The sequence below is a fragment of the Homo sapiens genome, chromosome 14 (assembly GCF_000001405.40).
Source record: "Homo sapiens chromosome 14, GRCh38.p14 Primary Assembly".
NCBI lineage: Eukaryota > Metazoa > Chordata > Mammalia > Primates > Hominidae > Homo > Homo sapiens.
The window spans coordinates 93,770,119-93,787,032 of record NC_000014.9 but is presented as its reverse complement, the minus strand read 5'-3'; the positions used below and the strand labels follow the sequence as shown (position 1 = coordinate 93,787,032).

At 49.6% G+C, this 16,914-nt stretch overlaps 1 protein-coding gene across 3 annotated transcripts in view, besides 1 other annotated feature; it reads left to right on the top strand.

Annotated features, from left to right (window-relative positions):
* PRIMA1 (proline rich membrane anchor 1) overlaps nucleotides 1–16,914 on the top strand; it is a 70,697-nt gene that overhangs the window by 1,962 nt on the left and 51,821 nt on the right. For all 3 annotated transcript variants that reach the window (XM_011536456.3, NM_178013.4, XM_047430966.1), the window contains exon 3: nucleotides 7,722–7,857. In XM_011536456.3, the coding sequence (XP_011534758.1) occupies nucleotides 7,722–7,857 (136 nt within the window). The remainder of the gene's footprint in view (nucleotides 1–7,721; nucleotides 7,858–16,914) is intronic.
* Nucleotides 7,085–7,586: an enhancer, noted in NCBI's record as "H3K4me1 hESC enhancer chr14:94245793-94246294 (GRCh37/hg19 assembly coordinates)". NCBI's record gives its function as "activates a minimal SCP1, AML or CMV promoter by ChIP-STARR-seq in naive and primed H9 embryonic stem cells {active_cell/tissue: H9 hESC(naive and primed)}" and the evidence as "EXISTENCE:reporter gene assay evidence [ECO:0000049][PMID:30033119]".

Here is a 16,914-nt window from a genome sequence, read left to right as displayed (position 1 = left end):
AGTCCCCCCCAGAATGCGCATCGTCACTGGTACAGTGGAGAGGTGACAAGGTGGACTTCGATGTCAGCTCTGGAATTTGAGCTTCAGCTCTGTCCCTCACCAGCTGGGAGGCTTTAGGCAACCCACTTACCCTCTCTGAGAGTTAGTTTCTTCTTCCTGACTGTACTATTGTAAGTACTTGATGAGATAAATGCATGTAAGGATTACTTAGTGCAGTGCCAGGTCCATGATGAAATTAACCAGTAGTGGTTGCTGCCATTGTTGATAGGAGTAATAGCAATGCCGTTCTTCTGCCTGGCTGACCAGGTACTCTGTTTATCACTGCGTGGTCTGTTTGACATTTTTTCTGCAGGCTCTGGAGGACATTTTCATTGTTTTGGGCATTGAGGATCCACTCTGGGGTATTTGTAGCCTCATGTGCTCCTGATGGCATTTTGGGGTTTGGGGACAATTCACATGGTTGCTCTGTACTAGTAGGGGTGACAGACCAGGAAAAAAAGGGATGCGGGCAAGACCACTTGCCAGTCTACCGAGGTCCATGAGCTGCCCCAAATGATGGGGCCCTGCCGAGAGCTTGCTCAGTCAGTCCTGCCTGGATGATGGCCTGGGTGACTGCCCATCGATAGCCAGGTTCAGACGCTGCTCAGCACCCCCTACTCCCAGGCCCCATCTTCTGCTCTCTTCTCTGGCTTGCCTCCGTCTCACAATTGTTTTCCTTTTGGAATTGACAGCTTTGTCTAATGTGTGAAACAGCAGTTATTAAACTCAGCTGTGCCTCCTCAGGAAACATGATTTTGTCACTTCTAAACACTTTAGTGGCTTGGGACCAGCTTCGCTTGTTCAACTTTTAGCTGAACCTCAGATATTGAGTTCACTTCGTTTTTAGATTCATTTGTTTACACTTTTCTCTCTTCCATAAGACACCTTCACCTGGGGTGGGAAGCAACGTAGTGAGGTTGTCAGTCTCCAGGACTAGAATTCTGCTGTGTAAGCTAGTAGGATCTAAACAGAAGACCCCCAAGCACCATGCACTCCTCCCAGAAGAAATAATTTTGTGAAAGCAGTTCAGTTTTTTAAGTGTCCTTCAGCCAGGCAGTACTTACACAAGCAGGGGTGTGTGTGTGTGTGTATGCAGGGGTGTCTGTGTGTGTGCAGGGGTGTGTGTGTGTGCGGGTGTATTTCAGATGCTCTCACTCAATACAAATCAATTTTCATAAAAATCAATTTAAAAAGGAACCCTCCAGACAAGTAGAATGGGTAAAATCTTGGCTTGAGGCTCTGGAAAAATTAATTTACAAATGATAGGGACAGGGAAATCAAGGGAAAGGGGTTTTGGAATGAATGGATCTGGCTTTAAGCAAAAGAGCTAAATCCAAGGGAACGTAGGAGAGAAGAGGAAAAATGGAAATGCACGAAGCCATGTGTTTCTCTTTAAGTGGGGAAAATAAAATCTGTCATGTCATAGGAGTTTCTCTAATCTGGAGAGCAAACTCAGAGCTATCTGCCCTTCCATGAGCATTTTGCCAGAAGAACATTTGGAAGGACAAGGCCAACATAACAAAGTCCTATGATTAATGGGATCGTCGATGAGGCAAAAGACCTGGGGTCCCCCAAAGCACCAGGTTCTTACCTTGCAATCAGCCTTAAGCCTCTGACTGCTGCTAGTTGATAAGAAACTTAATCATTAAAGTTAGACGATATTTAAATTGCCAGAAAGTTGGTGGGAGCATTCCTTAGCCTTTCACCCTGTTCTTTAATGTGTCTGGAATTGAGATTTTGAGCTTTTGTGATTTAGGGTTCTTCTAAGTTCACTTCCAGATGATTCTTTTTTTTTTTTTTTTTTTGAAAGAGAAGAGGATGACAGGCTGGCAAATTTATTAGGTGTGACAGGAGTATGTCTCATCAAGTTACCGTGGTGCTGGCCTGTCTCCATGAAAGATGCCAGAAGCCATCATCTTTGTGGCTGCCCTCCTAAAGTACTAGTTAGAGAGACAGCCTCTTATCTGGCCTTATGGGTCTCTGTGTGCTGATGAGGAGCCACCCCAGACCCAAGTGATGTTGAACCCCTTCCATGGTCAGTCTCTGCAGCTTTGATGATTCATTCGGCAGCATTTATTGGGCGCCTACTGTATGCCAGGCCCTTTGTTAAGTGCAAGGGGCTTAGTGGCCTCTTCCCTCGTGGCACTGATAGTTTGGCAATGTAGAGCTAATTAAACAAGTAATTATCATCAAGAGAGCTCAGCAAGAGCAAACAGCTTGGACCCGGGGCAAGAGTCATAGAAGCCTCAATGGTGTGGTGCTTCAGCTGAGACATGAAGGATGAGAAGTTAGGATGCAAATGAGGGTGAGGTGTCCAGGCAGACAGAACAGCCCAAGGCCAGAGGAGAGAGGGACTTTGGAAGACCCAGGGGAAAGAAGCACCAGGTAAGGCCACTGTTGTAAGCCACTAACATAGTGTCCTGCAGTTTGGACTTGATCCTGAGGGCTATGGATGTCATTTTAAGTAAAGGATTTTAAGTAACAGATGACACAATCTCAGGTTGGTATTTTAGAAATCTCAGTCCAGGCTGGTTGCAGTGGCTCACACCTGTAATCCCAACACTTCGGGAAGCCAAGGCAGGAGGATTGCTTGAGCCCAGGAATTCGACACCAGCCTGGACAACACAGCAAAACCATGTCTCAAAAAAAAAGAGAGACATCTCAGTCCAATTCCTGCATGAAGGATGGATGCAGGGAGGAGGTAAGGCAGGGGCAAAGAGGTAGGTAAGAGGAGGGTGGCCAGCTTTAGCAAATAAAATACAGGACATTCAGTTAACTTTGAATTTCAAATGAACTACAAATTGTTTTTCTAGCATCTTTCCCATATAATATTGGGGATATACTTTAAAATTATTTGTTGTTTATCTGAAATTCAGATGTAATAGGGTGTCTTATATTTTATCTGGCAATCCTAGATGAGAGGCAGGTACTGCCCACTGGAGACCTGATGGTGGCCTGGTTCAGGTGGCGGCAAAGGAAACAGAGGAATAGATGGATTCAAGAATGATTTAGGAGGCAACGTCTGCTGGACCCAAAACTGCACTGATTGGCCAGGAGTAGGACGGTGGTAGGACACTGATTGGCCAGGAGTAGGATGGTGGTAGGACACTGATTGGCCAGGAGTAGGATGGTGGTTGGAGAAGAGGGAACTGATGCTGGGAACACTGTGTCCCTCAGACCTCTGCTACAGGTACCAAATCCAGGGGACTCCAGGACATACCTGTGCCTCAGCCCACTCTCAGGACTACAGCATTTACAGGATTCTGGCTGCAGAATAGGGCCTGGAAGGCAGACGATTGTGAAATGGGAATAAGAAGTGGTCCCAGGAAGTACTGAAACCAGCCTGCGTTCTGTGGGCTTTAGGCAAGTCACTGACTTTTCTGGGCCTCTGCTCTTTCTTAACGAAGTCCAGCTAAGAGCATGTTACTTCAGGGGAAACTTCCTTCTCCTTTTGAAATTCCCCAAGATAGAAACCAAACGCCAGGTGTTGGGACAAGCTCCAGACACCCGAGGCTTCCTCTCTATTGGTCTAAATACAACACTGCCAATCAACAGAACCCCCAAGTGGAACCAGCACTGGGGAATGGGACAGATCCTGTGTTTCCCCACTGGTGGGCATTGTGCCAACTGAATGCTGGGCCTTGGGCAACTGTGGTACATCATTTAGCTTCGCTGAGCCTTCAAGCCACCTGTTAAGAGTGGATAATATCACCTATCTCTCCCGGTTATGCCCAGGGCGAAGTGGGAGCCTGAACCCATGATGGACACATAGTAGGGCTCAGAAAGTCATGATTGTTCAGGATTAATAAAGTACTCATCTACCTGCCCGCCCTAAGACACTCACAACTTAGTGTAGACAGACACACATTGCAAAATAGCATGGAAATGTCCCAGACAGAAGTGTTTGCAGAATAAAGCAGCAGCATTGAGCAGGTGAGTCTAATTTGGGGTGAGGGAGGGTTTAGGATGGTTTTGCCCAAGAAGGAGGACTGCTTGAGCCAGAAATTTGAGACCAGTCTGGTCAACATAGCGAAACCCTGTCTCAAAAAAAGGAGAGAGAGAAATCTCAGTCCTGTTCTTGCATGAACACCCAAGAAGGCTGTTCAAGAGATAGGTTTGAAGGATGGAGAGAGGCTAGCAAGTGGATATGGGGTCTGAGTAACCCAGAGTCGAGGCAGGCTCAGACGCCACAGGCTTGGACTGGACCAAACTATCAGGACACTGCAGTGGGGGCTCAGCCGTCAGGCATAAGGACGGACCAGACATGATCCTTTTGTGAGAACAGTTGGCTAAGCAATTGTGCCTGCTCACATTTCAGAGAGGCCCTTATGTAAGAGACTGAGAACCATTGATTTTTTTGTTTTGTTTTGTTTTGAAGCAGGGTCTCGCTCTGTTGCCCAGGCTGGAGTGTGGTGCACTGTAATAGCTCACTGCAGCCTCAACCTCCTGGGCTCAAGCAATCCTCCCACCTCAGCCTCTGGAGTAGCTGGGTCTATAGGCATGTGCCACCATGCCCAGCTAATTAAAAAAAAAAATTTGTAGAGATGAGGTCTCACTCTATTGCCCAGGCTGATGTTGAACCCCTGGGCTCAAATGATCCGCCCGCCTCAGTCTCCCAAAGTGTTGGGATTACCGGCGTCAGCCTCCGCACCTGGCCAAAGCTATCAATTTTATTTATGTATTTATGTATGTATGTATGTATTTATTTATTTATTTATTTATTTTTGAGACGGAGTCTTGCTCTGTCGCCCAGGCTGGAGTGCGGTAGCATGATCTCAGCTCACTGCAAGCTCCGCCTCCCGTGTTCACGCCATTCTCCTGCCTCAGCCTCCCGAGTAGCTGGGACTACAGGTGCCCACCGCCACGCCCGGCTAATTTTTCTGTATTTTTAGTAAAGACAGGGTTTCACTCTGTTAGCCAGGATGGTCTCGATCTCCTGACCTCGTGATCCGCCTGCCTTGGCCTCCCAAAGTGCTGGGATTACAGGCGTGAGCCACTGCGCCCGGCCTTATTCTTTTTTGAGACTGGAGTTTTGCTCTGTCGCCTAGGCTGGAGTGCAGTGGCATGATCTTGGCTCTCTGCAGCCTTGACCTCCAGGTTCAAGTCATTCTCTGCCTCAGCATCCTGAGTAGATGGGACTACAGGCGTGCACCACCCTGGCTAATTTTTGTATTTTTTTTTTGTAGAGACAGGGTTTCATCACGTTGGCCAGGCTGGTCTCGAACTCCTGACCTCAGGTGATCCGCCCGCCTTGGCCTCCCAAAGTGCTGGGATTACAGGCGAGAACTATCAGTTTTTTAAATGCAGTGTGCTCCTTCACTTCTTCCTCCTGCAGCCTTGAAATTTGGCCCTGATTTTTCTGCCTAGAGCTTCATCACATTAAACACCCTTATACATCTGTGCCTTCATATCCTCTCACAAAAATAGGTCATTGTGTCGGGCCAGGTTAAACAAACGTGCTTCTCTTGAACTCTCTCTCATAGATTGCACCTTGGAGATTGAGAAAATAATTACACTGGCAATGGTATTGCTTGAAGTTCACACACTTGGTAGAGTGCATTGGAGAAGTGGTCTCAGAGGCCAGCTATTAGGAGAATGAAGCTTTCTAGCAAACCCCAGGGTCTCAGAAGGTCAGAATCTAGAGGGGCACAGGCCCAACGATGGGATGTCTAACAATGGCACCGGTCTAGAAGCCGGTGGATTTCCCACTGACATGTAAGGAGTTAATCATTTCTGTAAAATAATTGAGCAGAGGCCACCATCAGACGGCATGCTCTTCCCAGTGGGAGAGAAGATTGCCTTCCAGGGTTTGAAACGCAGTCAATGGCCTTTTAAAAACATTAAAAGGTGATGAGCAGGAGCCTCTTAGCCTGGTAGATATTAAGCCGGGGCTGTAAATCAGCTCACTTCCCGCTGCCACCCCAGCGGACATTACCCACATTACTTCTCCACATCTTCCAGGTGCGATGGGAGCCTCCCAGCCCCGGGGGGCTCTCCCTGCCACGTGACAGAGGGGCTGGATCAGCATTCAAAGGCAGGCAACACATGGCTAGTTGCAGGGAAAGTGGAGTTCTGGTTTCCAGTGGCTCAGAGATGACAGAGAAATCAACCGTGGCTGTCGAGGAGGTGGAGGGTGACTGGCAACTCTTTGTGCTTTTAAACCAGCTTGTTCCCCGGGACAGGCATGAAACACCAGACTCTTGGATTTATGGCACTCTGTATAGTGAGGGACACTGGCAGTCAGTCTAATCCATCTACCCAGTTCCCATGCTGGCTCTGCATAAGAAGTTTAACCTGGAAAGCATAAGCAAAATCCCCAGGCCCAGCTCCACCTGCAAAATTTTGATTTAATCGGTGTGGCTCAGGCATGGGTATTTTTTAAAACCACCAGGGAGATTCCAAGGTACAGCCAGGGCTGGGAACTGCTGGTGGAGCCCAGCTCACTCGGGCTACCCTTCTCGTTGACACATGAGGAAGCTGAGATTGGTGCTGGAAAAACACCAGGCCAAGGTTCAAGAGGCGTGGATTGTGGCCCAGTTTTTCATATTCATTCATTCATTCACCAAAAATTTATCAAATGGTGGGCATTCCCTTAAGTGGTGATTTATGATAGTGAGAGAGAAGGAACAAGGCCTGCTCTGCCCTCAGCGAGCTCACAGTGCCATGGTGAAGATAGGTATGAACCAGGTAACATCCAAATGTAGCTTTCTGCCCCTAGAGGGGAACCTGGTGCCAGGAGAGCCCATACAAAAGGATCTGGCTGGATAAAGAGGTCAGAGACACATCTGTGAGGTCATCGCCAAGCTGAGTCAGGGGCGTAGCAGGGTAGGGATGGGAGAACATTTCCACCACTGGAGCAGCAATTGCAGAGGCCGGGGGCCTGGAACTGAAAGGAGAGAATGAGGGCAGAGAGATGGGGAGAGAGCATGGGACGAGGTGGGGCCGGAGAGGTTGTCAGGGATCGCCCCTTGCAGACCTTGTAGGCCACATGATCCCACGAGGGGTGGGGTGGCATCTGGGTCTTTCTGGGGGGATGGAGGTGGTTTGGAGGGGTGCCCTTCCCACAAGACCACCTGGATGCTGAGTGGAGAGCATCAAGCAGGTTGCTCTGCTCCCTTTGGTCACGTGGGACACAGGAGTAGAGGCCTCTCTGGGTGAGGTTTCTACCCAAGAGAGGGGGGCCTTGCCCCAGAGTAGACATGACAAGGCCATCAGGAGCGAGGGCTGGAGAGAAGGCCAGGGCTTGGCCTTGGGCTGTAGCAAGGAAGACAGGAGAAGCGGTTGGGCTTAGATTACAAAGGAAGCAAAGGGTCTCACTCTCCAAATGTGAGACCCTTGGGCAGCTACTTCTGCCTGGGCCTCAGTTTACTCGTTTGTACAATGGGGAAATTCTACCAGTTAACCTTCAAGTTCTTGTCTACTTCTCATTCATATCCAGGTCACTTGCCCAGGGTCCCTGGCAAAGCTAGGAAGAAAACCTTGGTCTCCAACCAGCCAGGCCAACCGCCAACAACATTGTCCCCTTTGAACCAATCCGACTTCTGTTGATTCTTCCTGCCTTGGTCTTGGAAAGGAATCCCAAGTCCCAGCCTGGCAGGGGACGGGGTGGCCTGGGCTTGTTTCAGCTTCTAGTTGCCTTATGGTCTTCTCTCTCTCTTGGGTACGTGTGCCCATGTGTACAGGTGACGCATGGTGAGCCCCAGAAGTCCTGCTCCAAAGTGACTGACAGCTGCCGACACGTCTGCCAGTGCCGGCCCCCTCCCCCGCTGCCCCCGCCGCCCCCACCCCCGCCACCTCCCAGACTCCTCTCCGCCCCAGGTAAGTAATGGCTCACTCCATTTTCGGGTTTCTCTTTGTGTTTTCCTAGGCCCACGAAGATCCACTGAGTGTGGCCGAGGGCAGCCCTGCCTCCTTGGTAATTTTCCACTGGCCAAGCAGGAGGGAAGCCAAGGCCCAACTTTCCCCTGCAGTCTGCAAAACGCCTTTCCCACAGCGTGCTCCTGCAAGATGGAGAAGGATGTTTCTCCATCAGTTAATCAGATAAAAGTCAATCTCCATTTGATGAGTGACTTGGCCTGGATAGTTCCGAAGGCCAGATCTTTAAAGGGGGCAGCTGCTGGGGACTGGTCTTAAATAGCCCCCCTCCCCCAACACACAGTTCTATTTCTCTATTATAATTTACATTTAAGGAGGCAGTTAGGGTAGAACCAAAGTCAGTGCTCTGGGAGCAGAGTTTCAAGATGCCATTCAGCTATGTGCACCAAATTCTGCTAAAACCTCTCTGTGACTTGTTTGCCTTGGACGATTTCATCTCTGAACAATTTGATTGCGCCGTCGTTCAAACAAAGGAGCGTTTCTTTAGCCAGAAATGGCCTCAGCCCTGACCTCTACATGGTAAAGTTCCCTGTTTACAATTGCTACTTGATAAGGTCTCTCCAAAGGAGGTTCTGTATTTCACGTGGTTCATTCAAGTTCCCACCTATAGGATGCCCGTGATCATGTCGGTATCTACCTCATTAAACACATCTCCATGGAATTATTTGGGATGTATTTTCAATAACCTTGGCACAAAGCTTGTTCTCTGGTAGGCTGCGTTTCCAGCCTCTTGGTCCCCAGTCAGTGATGCAATGTTCTGGAGGATCTTTGCAATTTGTGTGAATTTCTGCATTTTGACTGTGAGGCCTCTATATATCTCCATCCTTCCCTGACACCCTGTGGCCCATTCCTTCTCAAAGCCTGGCCCTCAAATGACCTGCTTCAGCATAACCCAAAGCATTTGTTTTAAAATGCGTCTTCTTGGGCCCACTTCAAACCCACTGAGCCAGAGTTTTTGGGGTGAGACTTGGGAATCGTCACAATTACAGGTTCTGAGGTGATTCAAATGCAAGTTACAGTTGAGAACCTAGGCCTGCCAGGCCCTCTGCTCCAGGCCTCTGCCAAATCCTTCTATCCCGGGATGCTCACTGGCCTCCTCTCTCCTGAAAGAATCCCTGGGCCTGCACCTACTCTTGGAGATCACTCCTCTCCCTTCCTTTAGAATTCCTCACTCTCCCACATTTTGGGCCCCACGGCACGTAGTCTCCCAGCGGTTTGTATTTAATGATCCACATCCCCCAGCTAGCATCCCTTCAGGTCTTCTTGTGCTCACTGAGCATCTGTGTCAGACAGAGGAGAAGGACCGTCCTGGCCCTCTGGAATCTCAGCCCTCCCAGGGAAGGCCATCCTGTCAGCAACCCACAAAGAGTGGCCTGAGAGAACACAGAAATGGTTTGCCAGGTACACTGGAAATACCTGAATAGTTAAGCAAAACAGTAGCCCCAGTAAATAGTAACAGGGGTCTTTAAGAATAAATGGGATTGGTCGGGCACAGTGGCTCATGCCTGTAATCCCAGCACTTTGGGAGGCTGAGGTGGGTGGATCATGAGGTCAGGAGTTCGAGACCAGCCTGGCCAACATGGTGAAACCCCGTCTCTACTAAAAATATAAAAATTAGCCAGGCGTTGGTGGCAGGCGCCTGTAATCCCAGCTGCTCCGGAGGCTGAGGCAGGAGAATTGCTTGAACCCGGGAGGCGGAGGTTGCAGTGAACCAAGATTGCGCCACTGCACTCCAGCCTGGGCCACAGAGTGAGACTCCGTCTCAAAAAAAAAGAATGAATGGGATTGTTCCAGGTTGCTAATCAGGTTGGGGGAAAAGGGCATCCAGGCAGAAGGAAGCGCATGGACAAAGGCTTGGAGGTATGGCTCTGTGAGACTCCTCTTGAGAGTCACAAGCCCTTCAGTGGCTTGAAAGGGTGGCCAAGGAGGAGGACCTAGAAGGGCCTCGTGTGCCTGGCTGAGCAGATCGCATTTCATCCTATGGGTCATTGTTTACCAAACAATGATCTACATTCACGCATATCCAAGTACCATCTCTTATTTGCCTTATTTTTTTCTTTAAATAAACTCATTTTGTGTGTATACAAATTAATCTCCTTAACTTTACAAAACTACTCTAAATGAGAAACTAGTTCCACTTGCATAAATGGAAGGTGACCATAATAATAAATGCAGTGGAAGCAAACCAAGCTTTTAAAATTCCAGCTTTCTCTGGAAGATTCTGAGCTTGAGACTTTCTCTCTATTTGTTAAAAAGGGAGAGAAGTAAGCGGTAGAGAGATGTGAAAGCCATAGTGGCACAGTGCTGAGACCTTCTCTATAAAGTAATTGGAAAGTTTGTAAGTGAATCAAAAGGAGCTTAAGTTTCTTATTACAGGTTTCAATGTGTTTGAGTGCTGGGTCCATATACCATCTAAAATCAGCTCTCATAACTGCAGGGACATGGACCCAGTGCTTTAGGAAACTGCTCTGGGCAGTGATGAGCCTACGAAGGTGTTAAGTGGGGAAGTGACATGAGCCTATATTGTCTGTTTCAGAAAGATCAACTGTTTTGACAGTGTGGGTTGGATTGGAGTGGATTGGGGTTGAGCTGGCAGACTGGAGTCAGGTGGGGGTCTCTTGAGATCATTCAGACCCCAGACCATCCAAGAGGGCCTGAAACCAGGCTGGGGGCTACGGAGATGGGAGGAGGCTAGAGGAGAGTGCTTGGTTGAGTACAGAGAGAACTCATGTTGAGTTTTGGGACTGAAGGTGCTTCTTGGGAGAGGAGAGTAAGAGAGGAGAGCTCTGTATGGCAGGACTTTTTCTGTTTCAAGTAGCAAAAACACATCTTGAAGTGGTTTAAGCAATACAAAAACTAGGGAGAAAGATGTTAGCTTGTGGGCTCACGTATCAGGATATCCAGGCAGCAGATCTGCTGAATCCATGGTCTCAAATGATGACGGTATTGGATTTCTGTCTCTGGCTCTGTCGCTCTCTCCTGATTTCTCCTGGGTTGCCTTTTCTCTCAGGCTGGCTCAGTTCCTGTAGCTCCAGGCTCCAGCATTCCATCATTCTTACAGGCAGTAATATCCCTAGGAAGAGACCTTCTGTTTCCCAGTAGTCCGAGGGAAGTCCTGAGGCTGACTTTTGCTGGACTAGCTTGGGTCATGTGCCCACCTGTGGACCAATCATGGTGGCTTATGGGATAGAGTATGCTGGTTGGTCAGGCCCGGGCCATGTGACCACCCCTGGAGTTGGGATGTGTGGATAGAGGCTCAGGGAGAGGTGGTTTCCCAAAGGAAAATCCGAATAGAAGGGCTAAAACCCAAAAATAAGAACATGGCTACCAGGCCAGGAGGGCAGGGAATGTCTATCATAGCCATGGAGTGCCTCCGGCATGGAAGGTGGATTAGACCAGTGGTGGAGAATGTGATTTATTCATTCTCTTGGTCCTCCTTGAGCTCAGCCCAGAACCCTGCACACAAGTAGTGCCCAATAAATGTCAGAGCTACGGCCACATCCACAACTTCTGCCAATCATAAAATACGGAGGCGGAGGTTGCAGTGAGCCAAGATTGCACCATTGCACTCCAGCCTGGGCAATAAGAGCGTAACTCTGCCTCAAAAACAACAACAACAGCAAAAAACAACAAAACAAACAAAAAAAACAAGTGCCTGCTATATAACCCTGAAGGAATTCATGTCTCCCAGAGGGCACAGGGCTTCAATGCTGTGGAGCCTCAGCTCTCACTCAACAGGTGCACACTGAGCTCCAAATGTGGGGCATGGTGCCAGGGCCCGGGAACCAGCAGTGAGCAGCAGACAGCTCCTGCCCTCATGGAGTTCACAGTCCAGTGGACTGTCATTTGCAGAAGGTGTTCACTGGAGTGTCCCTTCCTGCCATCTCTCTGGATTCACTGGCTCAAGGCATGTGCCAGTCCTTGTCCCATTTGCTCATCTGATGTCCTTTGCATTCTTGCCACTCACAAGGGCCTCTCATTCACCTGGCGAGCATTTGCCAGGCACCTGTTCTAGGTCCAACCCTGCGTTGGGCATCCTGAGGGATACAGAGTCACACAGGGACTTATCCACATCAGCAGGGCCCAGGTCATGAAAGGCCAAGGACTTGGCATAAGAGGCCGATTCCATGAGCCTTTCTTTAGCCTATGTTGGCGTGCTAGCCCTGCTCTTTCCTCTTCGTGATTTTAAGAGAGCCGGTTAACCTAAGCCTCAATTTCTTCCTCTATAAAATAGGTCATGGGCCACACCCACCCCATGGGGTTGAGTTGAGGGTTCCTGAAAGTGAGAAGTACTTTTGAAAACTAGACAGGTATCCATTGCTGTAATCGTCCTGTGGAAAGCGTTCTGATGAAGAGCAGCCTGTGAGTGCAAGCCAGACTTGGGGGATAAAGAGGTGCTATTGGGAAGGGGATACGTAATTACAAAAGGGGCAGGGAGGACGGATTTGGGAAGACGTGGGAGAATTCCCAGGTAGAATGGGACAGGTGGGAGCAGAGGGAGGCTGCACAGGCCACGAAGGAGAGGGAGTGGCCAAAGCAGACAGCCAGAATTAGCAGCCCAAGGATCAGGCAGGAGGCTCCCTGCTGAAGTGACATTGATCCACAGGTGTGTTGAGCTTTGGTGTGTGTGTCTGGCATAAAGGGAGAAAGAGGGGAGAGAGAAACACCTATTCGTGCAGGCCTGTGAAGTGCCCCCTAGAAGTAATGACCAGGAACGTTTGCAGGGCGTCCTTCACATGGCCAGGCAGGCATTGCTCTTCATCCAGACAGCACCTGCTGCTGCCCTGCCCCTCAGGGTGACCCGCTTGTCCTGGCTGGCCCGGGCCTCTCTAGGTTTTAGCCCCGAAGGTCCTGTGCCCCAGGAAACCCCTCAGTCCTGGACAAACTGGAACAGCGGGTCACCCCACTGCTGGGCCACCCTTCTTCTGGCAAAGGCAAGAGTGGTTTTTCAAATTGTTTTTTGTTATCTTTATTTTGGGGGTGTTTGTTTTGTTCTAATTTACTATGAATTTTTTTTCTTTTTTTTTGAGACGGAGTCTCTCTTTGTCGCCCAGGCTGAAGTGCGGTGCTGTGATCTCGGCTCACTGCAATCTCTGCCTCCTGAGTTCAAGTGATTCTTCTGCCTCAGCTTCCCGAGTAGCTGGGATTACAGGCATGAGCCGCCACACGTGGCTAAGTTTTGTATTTTTATTAGAGAGGATTTCACCATGTTGGTCAGGCTGGTCTCAAACTCCTGACCTCAGGTGATCTGCCCACCTCAGCCTCCCAAAGTGCTGGGATTACAGGTGTGAGCCACCGTGCCCAGCCACCATGAATCTTTTGAGAGTCCTGACTTCCCTCCCCCACTTCATTGCTGGAGAGGGCAGCTTGGCCTCCTATTCCTCTGTGGCAGGCCCAGATCTGTGCCCTGCTCCCAGCAGCCCTACCCTGCGCCCTGCCTGCCACTGGAGAAAGAGCAGGAAAGGGATCTGGTGAAGCGGAAGGTTCTCAAGCAGCATCTCCACTTTCTGCCCTTGGGTTTTTCAGGCTCTGCCCACAACCCTCACTTTGAGTCTGGGCACTTGACCAGGGGTTCTCCAACTTGAGCTTGTATCGGAAGCGCCTGGAGAGCTTGTTTAGTCACAGATCACTGGAGCTCATCCCCAGAATTCCTGACTCGGTAGGTCTGGGGTGGGGCCCGAGGACCTCCTTTTCAATTCCCTTCTCAGGTGATGCTGACGCTGTTGGTCGTAGGAGCACACTTTGAGAACCTGTGCCCTACAGAATGACAATCTCAGCAAGGGGCTTTGGGGCCAGCCCCAGCCCTTTCACTCCTAGCTCAGACTCTGGCCATGTCACAACCTCTCAGAGCCTCAGTTTTCTCATAGGATTCCTACCTGCAGAGGAATTGTCATGAAGATTAGAAATTATCCAGGCCATCCTGGGCAGAAACTTTGTGCTCAAAAGGTGGTATTATGTAGCGCAGTGGCTCAGAGCCTGGCTTCCTGCCCTCTAGACCTGAGGTCCAACCCTTGTTCATTAGCTAAGTGATTTGGGCAAGGAATCCTTAACTGCTTGGAGCCCCAATTTCCAAATGTGTAGAATGGAGTTAACAACCCTACCTGCTGCACATGGGTGGTTGGAAGGATTCGATGCCCTACAACTAACACAGCACAGAGCCTGGAACCCAGTTAACACGCAATAAATGGCAGCTCATAAATAATTCTAATGCAAGCAGTAGAAATGAGAGTACGTCACTAACCTTCAGATTGGGAGTTGCTTCTGCAGGGTTCCAGCATATCTCTGCTGAGATAGGAGCATCAGATTAGACACTCTGAGGATGAGATGGGCTCTCGAAGGAGGTGTAGACTCCCCTGCATCTTCAACAGGAAAGAAAAGGTTTTCAGAGAGTCCCATCTGTGTCTCTTCCTGGGCAGCCCTTGCCAGGCATGTGATCCTCAGTGTCAACGGAGTGTCCCTGGTGAAGGTATTTCTGGAAGGCATGGGTGGGCATGAACCCTGGCAGAGCTAGAGGCCTGCTTGTGGCCTGAACAAAAAGCCTTCAGCAGCCACCAGAGCCCAGGACCTGGCTTGCTTTGTAAATGTCAGCCATGGCCTGCCTGTCCCCGCCTGTGACTCAGATGGCGGAGGCCATGGAAGGAGATGTGTACCAGCCCTCAAGCAAAGCACACACACGCCCTCTGTGAGACCTGCTTCCAAGGCTGACGGGGCCAAAAATAGCTGTGGCAGAACAGAGGCGTGAGCCTGCATTTCCATAGTGCCTGTCTTGAAGGAGTTCAAAGCACTGATAGAGATTTTATTGGGGCATTTATTTTGTTCTTGGAAAGATCAGAAGGAGGTTAAGTGACTCCTCAAAGGTCACACAACAGTGGTGGAGCCAGGAATAGGGTCACCTGGTTCTTCTCCTATGTGCCAAAGGCCAAGTTTCAACAGAGAAAGAGACAAATGGGACTGTGGAAGTTCTAAGATGCTTCCTTTTTACCCACCCAGGACACTAGAAAGAAGCCAATACTTAGTTTCCAGTACTGTTGGAGAGAAGCTCTGCTCTCCTCATCTCATTTAATCCTCAAACCCTTCTTTGTAATAGGTGGTATTATTGCCAATTTTTATGCGGAGCTCAGAGGTTCAGAGAGGGTGAGTTACTTATTCTAGGCTGCCCAGCTGGAGAGGAAGGGAGGTTATTCAAGGCTATCTGATTACTTCCTAGTGTGGCCCCTGCCTAACTCTTCCCTCCAGTGCTGAGAGGCAGCTTCAGGGACCCCCCTTTCCTTTCCTTCCCTGGGCCTCACTCCTTCCTGTCTTGGAGCCTTTGCACGTATAGTCCTTCTGTCCACCAGCCTCCCCTTCGAAGTAGAACCTGACTCATGCTGATCTCAGCTCAGATTTCCTTTCTTTCTTCAGGAAGACCTTCCCTGACTTCCACAAATGTCACACCAGTCCCTGTTCTGGTCATTTACGGCTGCAGAACGAACTACTCCAAAAGCTACAACACCAACATATTTTCTTTCTCTTGCTGCTACAGGAGTTGACTGGCTCCACCTGGAGGTCCCTGCTTGGGGTCTTTCATGCACCGATAGTCTGTCAGCCAGGGCTGGGGCCACCTTGAAGGCTTCCTCTCCCATGTCTTGTGGTCAATATTGGCTGTAGATTGGGTCCTCAGATGGAGCTGTTCACTCTAACACTCCATGTGATGCCGCCTTGTGAACTGGGCTTCCTTACAACATGGTGGCTGAATTTGAAGGTTGAGAGGCTGATGGGAGCTGTATCCCTTTTGATGTTGCAGTTGAAGAAGTCACCCAGCATCAACTTCCACTGCATTCTGTTTTTTAGAATCAAGGGACCAGGGCTGCCTCATATTGAAACAGTGGGGAATTAGACACCACCCCTGATGGAGCAGTGTCAGAGGAGTTGCTTACATTTGGAAACCATACCGCCCTGCATCCACATGCACACACACATACATGCGCACACACACACATACGTGCACATGCACACACATACATGCACACGCGTACATGCACACGCACGCACATGTACACACATACATGCACACACACACATACATGCACTCACTTTGAATTTTTCATTTTCTTTTGTAGCAGTTATTCCACCTTTTAAATATGTAATTAATGACTTGACCAATGCTTGATCCTTTGTTAGTCGTACACAGTTGTCCAGTGTCTGCTGGGTCCTCAGTGATAGCCCCAGATATTTAGCACGTGCCTGGCATGTCATGAGTCCTCCGTAGCTACTAATTCACTTACCTTACAGATATTTTTGAATATCTACTATATGCCAGGCACTAGGTACTAGGTGCTGGGAATCTAGTGGTGGACAGAACAGAAGGGCCCTGCAGTCACAGAGCTTGTAGATTGATTGCTCTGTGTGTGCGCGGGAGGGGGCATGGGATGGTGGTATAGGAAATAAGCAAACCAAAACTATCACAGGAAAAATGGAAGATAACATGCTACAGAGATAGAGAAAATCATACGATTTGATAGGAGTAACTGGGGGGCTGCCTAGGTTATGTGGACCTGAGATGCCATTTAAGCTGAGAGCTGACCGAAAGGGAATAGCTGGTGGAGGAAGATCTGGGGGAAGAGCTTTCTCATCAGAGGAAACAGCATGTGCAAGGTCCTCGTGTGGAGAAGCACTCTGGCTGTGTGAAGAGCCAGCGTGGCTGCTGCCTGCTACGAGGGAAGACTGCAGGAGGTGAGCCCACAGGGAGGCAGTGCCCGGACCGCACAGGGCCGTGGAGGCTAGAGAAGGAGTTTGGATTTTATCTGAAGTGCAGCCAGAAGCCAGCGGGTTTTGAGTAGGGGGTGTGGCATGCCCTCACGTGCACTTTACAAAGACTGACTCTGGAGAGTGGAAGGAAGGGGAAGAGTGGAGGCTGGGAGCCCAGTGAGGAGGCTGTTGCCATGGGCCAGGTGAGTGACGGTGCAGGGAGAGATGGTGGTGGTGGGCTGGACCCGGGGTGGAGGCAAGAGGAGGTGTCAC